Source organism: Homo sapiens, chromosome 12 (genome assembly GCF_000001405.40).
Source record: "Homo sapiens chromosome 12, GRCh38.p14 Primary Assembly".
Lineage (NCBI taxonomy): Eukaryota > Metazoa > Chordata > Mammalia > Primates > Hominidae > Homo > Homo sapiens.
Genome location: NC_000012.12, coordinates 75,557,565 through 75,569,694, shown reverse-complemented (window position 1 = coordinate 75,569,694; position 12,130 = coordinate 75,557,565). Strand labels below are relative to the sequence as shown.

Here is a 12,130-nt window from a genome sequence, read left to right as displayed (position 1 = left end):
TCCTCATCTCTTTAAACTGGAAATGCTACCTATCTTTTTGTTTGTTTTGAATATCAAAACTGTTTTAAAAATGTCAGCCTAATGTGAGACTGACATGGAGTAACCCTCAATTATTCATCTGCCTGGCTTTCATTTCATTCATTCTTTATTATTATTATTATTATTTTTTGAGATGGTGTCTCTCTCTGTGGGCCAGGCTGGAGTGCAGTGGCACAATCTCAGCTTACTGCAAACTTGGCCTCCCAGGTTCAAGCGATTCTCCTGCCTCAGCCTCCTGAGCAGCTGGGATTACAGGTGCCCACCACCATGCCTGGTTAATTTGTGTATTTTTAGTAGAGACAGGGTTTCACCATGTCGGACAGGCTGGTCTCAAACTCCTGGCCTCCAGTGATCCACCTGCCTTGGCCTCCCAAAATGCTGAGATTACAGGCATGAGCCACCAAAAAAAGTTGACAGTTATATCCAGTTCTTTGTTTTGGAAAGGTATGATTATAGAATTGTATTTATAAACTCTGATTTTTTTGTTCCTAGAAAGAAACTACAAATAAGCACACATATTGGTTCCTGGATATTCGCTCCTGTCTAGACTTAGAAAATTAGGGTTTTTTTGCTGTCTGTGGCACTGCAGCCTAGACAAGTATAGAAACAGTCTCAGAGTTGGGGCATGTGCCAGGAATCTCCTGATACTGCAACACTGTGAGCATATATGAAAAACACGAAAACACAAAGACAATCACATTCCCACATTCAATTCGGGTATATGGCTTTTGAATAAGCCTGTCATCTATTTTAAATTTGGTCTTTTAATATCCTGTTTTCTACTTCTGTTCCTTGAGTAGCCAATTAACAGACCAACATCTTCCTAAGATGCCTGTCTTTCAGGCTTTGGCCAGCACACTATGGTTTTTAAACCCACTCTTAACATGTCACCCCACGCCTAGGAAAGAATAACTCATTTCCATTTACTGTAATAGGATAACCCGTGAAAAGACCTATTTAGAGCTGCATGTCAGATACTTTCATTTGCTCAAAGTGGCCTTTCATGCAGAAACATGTTTTGTGTTTTTTTTTGGAAGGTGGAGTGTTCTTCAATGTTGATGTTGGAAGACTCCAAAAGTGAGGTCCGTGGCTTTTATAATTATGCAGGATTTTAGTATAAACCAGTAGGCAGATCTTAGCTAAATCTGCCCCACAGAAAACTGTCTCCAGCCAAACGACCAATTTAAAGGTCAATGTAAATGCTAAGATTATTAAGCAATAGCAGTTGAAGAAAGACATTCAGCTGTGGTGGAAGGACTCTTTGCAGGGTGAAAAAGAAAAAAGGTTGTTTATGTTCCTCCACTTCTTCCCAGAAGTGGGTTTCTTGAGCTTCCTCCTTTTTCACACTGGGGTTTTATTGTCTCACATTGTCTAGAAAGAAAAAACTGGAATTTTTCAATGGTAACACATCCTTGAAATGTGGGGTTTTAAATTCTCTAATTGGGGCTCTTGCAAGGAAGAACACCAGATTCCCTCATTATCTTAATGGCTTCCCTCCGCTTCTGGGCATGGGCCTCATTATAGCTTGGAGTCTCTTTAGGGACTGTGCAGGTGCCTTTTTTAAGTTCAGGTGGACAGTGTGGAAGTCATGCATAGAGCACATGCCAAAAAAGAGCTCCAACTGCTCCACTGACTTCCCCACGCACACTCTTGGAGTTATTTCCACTAATAAAAGCAGAATAGAACATGTACCAAATCAAACCATCAAACCATTGATTATATCTACTGAACGTCAGAGAACATGCTATTTATTGCATACATAGCATGTATTAGCTAAGATGATGCTCCTTAGCTAATAAACAACACATTATCTTTCATCTCAATCCCACACCTGCTCAAGAGGTCTCTGGGGCTGTGCCCTCATTTCCTATTGCTGCTGTTTCCATATCTTTAGATTCAGTACCTCCCCATCTCTAAAGTGACTCCATGTGGTACTTGTGTGTGTGTTATGTGAGCATGTATGTTTTTTATACCTATCTATCTATCTATCTATCTATCTATCTATCATCTATCTATCATCTATCTATCTCTTTATATTTTAAGCACAGATTCCAAGGCAATTCTCTTATGGGTATATTCTCCTGGATCTCCCAAACTGAACTCAGTATCATTCATTCCCTCTCAAATATTCCTTTCTTCTTATGTTCCATGTCTCAGTATAGCACACTGTCATTCACTCATCATGTTTGCCTTCTTCTCTTTTCACTCTTCAAATCCCATTTCTGACCACCTTATCTGCTCCCCAGGGAATCATCACATTGACCAATTCATTTCCACTGGGACATTTATCACTGATTTATGCTATGGGGTTAACTGCTTATTTACTTTGTTTCATCTGCCTCTTTCCTCTAGAATATAAGCCCCAAGAAGGTAGGGTTCTTTTCTGTGTTTTTCCCTGCTGTGAACCTAGAACAATACCTGGAACATAGGCATTGTTACTTATAAACCCGGTAAAAGTTTATTAACTACATGAATGAATCAAAAACTGTCTCATTGATGCTATTGCCTTAATGTCTTGCAAATCACTTTTTTAAATCCCTGCTGCTGCCACCCTAGTTAGAGCCAGTATATTTCTCATATCTGTGACTACAATAGCCTCTAAGCAGCTCTTCTCTTTTTTTTTGTTGAGACCCGGGCTGGAGTGCAGTGGGACCATGTTGGCTCACTGCAACCTCCATCTCCTGGGTTCAAGCAATTCTTCTGCCTCAGCCTCCTGAGTAGCTGGGATTACAGGCGCCCACTACCATGCCCGGCTAATTTTTTTATATATATTTTTAGTATAGATGGGGTTTCACCATGTTGGCCAGGCTGGTCTCGAACTCCTGACCTCAGGTTATTCATTGGTCTCGAACTTCTGACCTCAGGTGATCCACTCACCTCGGCCTCCCAAACTGCTGGGATTACAGGCATGAGCCACCACGCAGAGCCTCCTGAAGCAGCTCTTCCTGCTTCCACTCTCACTCTTCTCTAAATCGTTATCTGCCTGGCAGTCTGAAGTCTTTCTAACTTGCAAACTGGCTCCTGTCATTGGTCTCCTTAAAACTCTTAAGTAGCTCCCCATTACGATCTGCTTTGCAAACTTTTCCACAAGCATTTCCCCAATGGCAAAGGAGAGAGCAGGCCTGGGATCTGAAGTTCCCTGTCACAAGTACAAAATATCTTAGGAGTTTTATAATTTATCTTACAAATGTATGCAGATTTTGCACTCTACTTCTTTAGTAATAAATATTTTAAATTACTCAACACTTAGCAAAAACAATGCTCCAGGAAGATATTTCTTGTTTATCCTGTGGTTTTGCAATATGGCCACCAGGATATCAAAGTCTGAGAAAGGCAAAAGCAGATCAAGATCAGATAAACTTATTTGATGCACAAAGCCCTTCAAAACCTGGTGCTTGATTTGCTTTCCCTTCTTACCTTTTGCCATTCTCTCACACCCACCTTCCCCAGGCTGGCTCATCTCAATGCCACCCTCCCCTCCAAGACTGCTTTAGGTCTCCCTTCTCTGTTCCCCCTCAGGATCCTGTGCCTTGTTGCCTGTACATGATCAGTCCTTATTGTTTATCTCTGTGTCTGTAGCACTAACCTTGAGGAAAGGAGATGCGTTGTGTTCATTGTTACCCAAACCTGGCCCAGTGCCTGGTAGATCTCAAGCACACAGTAAACGTCTATGGAATGAATTAGTGAATGAGTAAATGGATTACCAATTATTCCAAGTAAGTGCTCATTTGAAGCTTTAAGGACCCTGATATCTGAGATTAAGCGATATTCTATTTCAGTAGCCTTCCCCCATCTGTTACTCCATCCTTCCCAATACATACATGTAAGAAGAGAAATTTATTTTGGGTTGATTTGATTGCCCAAGAACTGAAAACTGCGATCATGTCTAGGACCAAATCATGGATTCAAATTTACTAAGAGACATGTAAAGTTCAAAGAATGATCCTTTTCCCTGGAAACTGGAAGGGATTTTTGAAAGCACAAGGACTCCCTAGCTTGAAGCAGCAATTAAAGAATGGATCTTTGGTAACATCATCCTTTCTGATCTAGACAGCAATCAAATGTAATCTGCAAAGGTTTCAGAGGAAAGTTGAGCTCATGTTTAAGAAGATACTCAACCTCATCGTTCCATTTGTCATAGAGAATCGTAACTCATCTGTCCACCTATCTTTTCTGTTTCTGACATTTACTATAAAATGTTGTCACTGGGACTGTAACGTCTAATCAGCCAGGCTATTTGAATGATCTGATGAGCTAGTTTTAGGGTTCAATGTGTCATTAAAAAAAAAAAAAAACTTTTCTAGTGGAGTACAACTAGTGGAGCCGCCATAACTTCAAAGTCTCTTAGAATGGTTTTGGCTGAAGTCAAACATCCTCTTCATTTGATACAATTTTTGGTTATGCGTGACATATGCTCAACAGGAAAATTCTGCAGATGGAATCTTTCTACCGAGGGAAGTAGTTTGCTCTTATTAAAAAGTCTGAATGGGGACTAGAGATAGAATGAAGAGGAAAAGGAAGCCACAGAAAAAGCTCTGGCTGCAAGGCCATCCCTAGGCACCTGACAACATAGAGCAGTTGGCAGAGGATTGAAGTTAAGCAGCTGAGTCCCGTCCTCTGAGAGCTTGCAGTCCCCAACCGACTCAAATGCATGATTAAACATCACTTGGCCAACTATGCAAGTATTGAACCACAACCAAAGTAGGTTTTTAAAAATAGATTCAAATTAAAATGCAAGCCAATAAAGTAAGAGTAAATCACTCCTTCCCACTGCAGTATGGAATATAATCGAGGTATTTTCAACTGGTTAACAATGGATCCTTCCTGAAATATTCGACCCTTCACTGGCTTAGAAGGTATGCTTTTTTATTTATCAGATATGATTTGGGGGATGTTTAACACATGGGACTCATGGTTTAGAGTGTTTGCTAATTTTGTTACAGTGTTTCCAGTCAGGACAGCCTTAAAGGAAGCATTGCATATTTTATTAATTAATTAGTCATAATGAATTCTTTATTTCTGGTGTTGGCAAAGGCTAAAGCAGCCTGTTTGGCTATTGTTACACAGCCTGGTTTGCAGGCATTTCCTCCTGAGATTGCCAAGGGCAGCTGCCATGGGGTCACAGCAATTCCTTCAGCCAGTACTGCCCCTTTCCCAGAAACACACGTCTCTCCTTTCAACCCACAAATGAGGATGCAGCAGAGTGGGCCTGGGCACGGGCTTCACCCCAAACACAGCCAGAACACCTTTGTTTTTAATATGACTTTTTCAGATGAGTTTTTTTTTTTTTTAAGTGTTCTATAGCTGAAAAGGTTTTGGAAAACTACTCAATAAATAGAAGATAGGTAGATAGATGATTGATAGGTAATATAAACAGAATATTATATTCTACAAAAGCTGCTGCTTCCCCATAAGGCTTTGTGAATTTAAACTCCTCCTTCATCAACACCAAATATTAAATATATTACTTTGTACTTGAGGAAAAGTGGCGCAGTGGCTCACACCTGTAATCCCAGCGCTTTGGGAGGCGGAGGTGGGCAGATCACTTGAGGTCAGGAGTTTGACACCAGCCTGGCCAACATGTTGAAACACTGTCTCTACTAAAAACACAAATGAGCTGGGCGTGGTGGCAGATGCTTGTAATCACAGCTACTCGGGAGGCTGAGGCACGAGAATTGCTTGAACCTGGGAGGTGGAAGTTGCAGTGAGCAGAGATCACACCACTGCACCGCTCCAGCCTAGGCGACAGAGCAAGACTCCATTTCAAAAAAAAAGAAAAAAGAAAAAAATTACTTCCTACTAAAATGAAAAAGAATAATGGCTCCCAAATACCTAGTGTCTATCTGTTCCTCTAAATTAGGGGTTGTGTTTAAATTTACTAAATTTATATGTATATTTCAGATAAATTAGGCTGAAAATCTTTGTTCCTATCAATACTGTACAAGTGACTTTCACTAATTTATTTTGTGAAGGAAATTAAAACTTGTGACCATGACATGTAAATTCATTGAAATTAAATGCAAATAAATCCAGTCTTGTTATGGTCTTCTGTTTCAAGACTGAGGTTATTGACTGACACATAACGTTGAGAATCCATTTCCCAAACACTTTGATTGACAGGCAAGACAACACAACAGCAGAGACCTGGCTGTCTGTTTAAAAGCCGTGCTCCAAATACAGGCTATGTTGATAGAATTGACTGCTCCATTTTTCTGCTTTCTGAAGAGAAGGTAATCCTCTACCTTCTATTTGCAGGATATTAATTTTAAGTACCTGTGAAATGAAGTTCTTAAAACCTAAGATTCCCCAAAACTCCAGTTATCAACAAGGTTATATAGGAATCAAAGCGAGGCGTTTGGAGTAGATGCCGAGATCACCTCTCCCTCACACCTCTGCTGACCCCAGCTACCTGCAATCCTGCCAGGACCATTCTGGAGGTGAGGTGATCCTTTTTATTTGTAAAAGGTCTAGTAAAATATACAACAGTTTATTCTTTTAATTTTAAATGGCAATTTACATACATATATATATACTTGTATACTTCATAATCGACTTTCTTTTAAAATATGTGATTTCTTTCTAGGAAATGTTTCAATTTAAAAAATTAAATCATTTATGAATATGAATTTAATATTCATTTCCTTCAACTTCTTTCATCTGAATTTCTTTCTTCCCATTATTCCTTTTTCTTCTTAGCTAAACCATCAAATGACTTTCCTGCTATTTTACATTTTGCTGATAAGCAGTTCCTGTAATTAATAACCTTATCTTTCTATGTATGAAAAAAACAAATTTAATGCATTTTAATAAGGAGGTTGAAAGGACAAGGAGACATTTTATTGCTATGTTGATTTTGATAAGACTAGAAATAACCTGGATGGCTGGTGATGGCATATTGATGTTGGTTGCATTTGTGCACACATTTTTGGTTCCTCTTGCTGTTTGTACTTCAGTATTTCTTATAAATATATTTCTGAATGGGTATGCAATGTAGATTTCTTTAATAAGCAAATCTCATTGAATAATGTGATGGTTTTAGGCCACTTTATCATTATATATGTCTGATTCTAATCTCGTGTTTACAGTTATTAGCTGACCAACCAACAGGGCTGAGAATCAGAAGATTTGGTTTTAAGACTAGCTCTTCCAAAAAATTGCTCTTAGCCCAAGGAAAACATCCCAATTGCTATTTCCTTATTTATATATGGAGGTGGATCACCAGGAGACTACCTAAAACAGCTCTAAAATCTAAACCAGATCTAGTATTCTACAACTCCAGCTAATTCATTTTAAAAAAAATGCTATGTTAAGGTTTTAAAGTTGAAGATCCTTTGGAATGTAAATAATCAGGTCTCCATCCGGGGCCAAAATTTTGTACATCCCAAATGAAGGCTGAATAAAGCCTGTTCTTTTGAAATTAGTGACTTTTATGAGCTCATGAAGGATCCACAACAGAAAGAGCTCTGTGATGGGCATCAGGGTCGTTCCCACCCTTATTTCCTTTCCACTCACACACTAATCCCGTGATGTGGTTACATCTGTAATTTCATTCTGCAAAGAGGAAACTGTGTTGTACAGAGTAGTTAGTTGTCTTGGGCAGGGCTGTACAGGGTCACATAGCTACAGAGGGCTGAACAAAATTCTCGATATTCCAGACTGTGGTGATTTTTGTTAGAAATCTTGGGGTCACGGCACTTTGGGAGGCCGAGGTGGGTGAATCACGAGGTCAGGAGTTTGAGACCAGTCTGGCCAACATAATGAAACCCCGTCTCTACTAAAAATACAAAAAAAATTAGCCTGGCATGGTGGCGGGCGCCTGTAGTCCCAGAGAATGGAGTGAACCTGGGAGGCGGAGTTTGCAGTGAGCTGAGATAGCGCCACTGCATTCCAGCCTGGACAACAGAGCAAGACTCAAAGAAAAGAAAGAGAGAGAGGGAGCGACGGAGAGAGAGAGGGAGGGAAGGAAGGAAGGAAGGAAGGAAAGAAAGAGAGAAATCTTGGGGTCACTGTCCCCAGGACTGTGTCCTCAAGTCAGGGGTAGAAAATGAATAGGAGTGAATACCTAGTACTGCTCAGATAGGGCTGTTCTCACGCTAGGAGAGGGGATGGTTGATTGGGTATCGGGGCATCTTCTCCACTAGACGGTAAGCTTTTCTATTACCGAGTGTATCCATATATCCTTCAGGGCAGGGAGAAGATTTAAAATTGGTGTAATCTGCTGTAGTACCCAGGAGTGTGCTGGGCTCCCCAGTATTTTTCAATTCTGTGACACTGTAGGCAATCAATATAAACAGAAGATGAGGGTAACAGTGAAGTAGAAAAGGGTCAGATGTTGAGAATGGGAAAGTAGAGGTTACTACACCCACCTCAGTTCAGTAAAACAGAGCCCCTTCCACTGGCTGATTGGTGAATCACCTGGGCTGGCTCCAGGAACAATGAGAAGTCTTGGATTTGGTGCCCTTCAATGAAATCTTTCATTAGTCTCTCATATTCCTCCTCTTTCTTACTCCCACCAGCCCCTTTTGAAAAGTATGAATGCTGAGTTAATCCCTCAGGGTCCCAATGGTCCTTGTTCAAGCAAACGTCAAGGCGAGGGACTGTCTTTAATTATGGCTTAAGGAAACAATGCCTCCCTTTTGACAGTCTATGTAGTTAGTGATACTCTTGCTTGAAGATTCATGCAGGTAAAACCAAAAGGGGTTTCTATAGTATTGAAATCCATCTTCAAACACCACTAACCACTCCCTCTCCAACACCCATCTCCTGCTTCCAAGGGCAAAACTTAACCATCAAATAACATTACATATATGTTTTGGGCCTTGTATTTTGTACCCTACAGCATGTATGACTATTATACTGATGAGAGAAAACAAGATGTTTACGTAAATAAGTTTTTCATCACTGAATTCTAATGATAATCAACCCAAAACATCAGATTATTTTTCTGAGCATTTAGTCACAGCTTCAACAAAAATTCTTTCTTTAAGAGCTTATTGTGAAAGGATTTCATGTGCATTTATAAAGATGTCTTCTTTCATTCATTCTTTGGCAATTCTAATTAGTAAATTTTACTGGCATTTCTCTTTCTCTGTGCCCAGGAAGTTAATACAGCATCATCATTGATTACTGCCGCATGTTAGAGCAAACATATTTATTTCTCTTTTTTTCTCCCAAAGAAATAAAATCTTTATGTGCTCTGCACGTGGGTTAGGGAAGCTAATAATGGTCTGATTGTTCCAGTCTTGGTGCTGCCTAACCTTTGAGGTAAGGACTGTTACTCTTTCAAGCACTGTCCTCTAGTGTGGAAAATAAATATTAGCACTTTTACAACAAGCATTGCTGCTCAAGAACTGCTGCTTGATAAGTGTGTGCCTTCCACTAACCCACTCAGTGCTTTTCCTGGGAAGGTATTGACACCTTTAACCACATAAGTTAAAGTAATTCTTGGTGAGAAAATTACTGGCAACACATGCACCTTTACCTAACAGTGTTAGGTCATCAGAAACCACTGAATAGATGAAAGAAATGGGCTTGTAGTATAGCATAGATCCATGAGCTTGTGATAAAATGCAAAAAAAGAAGAAAAAAGGCACAGTTCATCTATTTTTAAAAATTAGTATTTCAAAAAGAGTGCTGGCTCAGCACGGTAGCTCACGCCTGTAATCCCAGAACTTTGGGAGGCCAAGGTGGGCGGATCACCTGAGGTCAGGAGTTGGAGACCAGCCTGTCCAACATGGTGAAACCCTGTCTCTACTAAAAATACAAAAAAATTAGCCTGGTGTGGTGGCAGGCACCTGTAATCCCAGCTACTTGGGAGGCTGAGGCAGGATAATTGCTTGAACCCGGGAGGCAGAGGTTGCAGTGAGCTGAGATCATGCCACTGCACTCCAGCCTGGGCCACAGAGCAAGACTCTTGTTTAAAAAAAAAAAAAAAAGCTATCATTTTTGACAAACTGGCCATTCCGAAATTAATTTCTGTGTGAAGCACACATATACATTTCTTTGAATCCTTGTATAACTCAACTCTGACTGGCTGTTTAATGGAATAGTTCTGACTATTCACATTTTCCAGGTTATTATCTCTTAGTTTCATTTAGTATAATGCCTGGCTTTGAAATCATAGGTAAATATTCAACAATGCCTATCAGTTAAGATTTTAGGGCACTAGATTCAGATAGACCTGGGTTAAGCATTCATTTGTTAGTTGGCCTTTCTAAACTTCAATTTCCTTTACAGTAAAATGGAGATCATAATAGTGCTTTCTTTCCTTAAAGAATTTAATTATGAACCTATGAGGCTTGAAAAATATTTAACATAGTATCTGGACCTTCACAAACACTAAATAAACATCAGAAATTCTTTTATATATTTTTGTATTTTTTTTTGACACGGCCTCTAGAAAACTTTCTATCCACCAACCAAGCCCCAAATGACATTCTTCTAATAAAACATACGGTAGACTATTTAAATTCATTACAGAGTTCACTTGTATTAGATTTAAATTCATTACAGAGTTCAGTTGTATTAGTTCCTTTTACTACATTTGAAAAAGCCTTTTCTCAGTGTGCACATTCAGCTGGACGCATGCTTCCTAGCTTCCGTTGAATTTTTGTGTTTGACACCTTCTTAGGGGACAGTTTCATATCAGGTGTCATTTCACATTAAGAAGCCAAATTTTGTGGATGCTTATATACACTCGAGAGTATGAACACAGTCAAGCTGGCTGTTATTGTTGTCAGTTCCCAAAATAGTGATCCGACATCCATGCCCAAAGGAGCATAAACCACAGACTTGTAAAAGGGGTACTCCTGGGAAGCTAATGTTGGGGGATAATCTCCAAAACACTCATACCTTTCATTGCTTCATAGATTATATCTAATGTCCTTCAAGGTTATAAAAATAGTTTACAGAGCATCTCTACCATAAACTGCTCTGTCCCTCCATAAAACAGGCCAGTTGCGTAGCTGGAAATGTTTCTGCAAGACAACAATGGCTGATAGGAGATTGAGCATAACCAAGCGCTTGATACAAACCATCTGCTTTTCTCTGAATGGTGTCCTTGAGTCTTCATTCTTGCTCAGTGTCCTGTGAAAGGAGCTGAAGCTGCTGCCACCTGATCCCAGTGTTTCATTACTGCCTGTCCCTGACCTGTGCGTTGACTTTTCATTGCCCTTTCCCTTAAAAACAAAGCTCAGGTCTCCCTTGGGCTAGAGAAGGGTGATGGTTGAGGTTAGAATGGGGGTCAAAAATCAATAGAGGAATCCAACTACTTCTTTGCTGAAGCAAACCAAGCACAAATTCTCCGAAGTTAGGTAAACAGACCTGTGTGCAAGGTGGGGAAAACTGAGTGGAAAGCAAAAGGAAGGAGAAAAATGAGGCAAATAACCTCCAAACATGTTTCTCATAGCTAACATCCTGGCACAATTTAGAGAAATGTCAAAGTTTACTATTGCACTTATTAGAGCTAGTGAGCTCCCAAGGTAAATGGAGAACTAAAAGGCCTTCATAATGCGTATTAATTCTTATAAAAAAATCTAAGGACTTCATGTCTTCTGACCAGCATGCAGCACATTCATGGAAACTGAATTCTTACTACCACATGTGTTTTTATTTTTAAAAAACAAAGTGAGAACAGGTTAATACTTCAAGCTTTCCTCAAGCAAATTGTTGGACTAGTTCAGATGGTTCTCGAAAGAGTAATTGCTCTTCCTTGGACATTATAGGCAGGACTATTCTAGAAGAAAAATCCACTTTGAATCACATAACTAGTATTGTTTTCTATAAAGCAAAAGTCGTTATGAAGATAGGCAAAGGACTAGTTTTAAAGGATCATCATGGACCTTTTATTAGAAATCTCTAATAAGGAGGAATAATAGTGATTCTGACAATATTTTTTTCAGAAGGTGACAAATGAATTGTTGACACGATAATGAACTTCATTCTTAGTTATTTAAATTAACATTAACATATTTTTCTTTACATTGACAGCTTATAATTTAGTTGTGCACACAACAAGTATTTTCTCAAAGACCTATTACGTGCTGAAAATAAAGCAAGATATTTTTGTTAGAGTGGATCAACAAGAGGAAGG

The 12,130-nt window shown here is 39.5% G+C and overlaps 1 long non-coding RNA gene across 1 annotated transcript in view; it reads left to right on the top strand.

The window, feature by feature from the left end:
* LOC105369844 (uncharacterized) overlaps positions 1-12,130 on the top strand; it is a 310,508-nt gene that overhangs the window by 265,074 nt on the left and 33,304 nt on the right. The window contains exons 11-12 of the long non-coding RNA XR_007063375.1: positions 3,619-4,895; positions 6,295-6,476. This is a non-coding gene — a long non-coding RNA (uncharacterized LOC105369844). The remainder of the gene's footprint in view (positions 1-3,618; positions 4,896-6,294; positions 6,477-12,130) is intronic.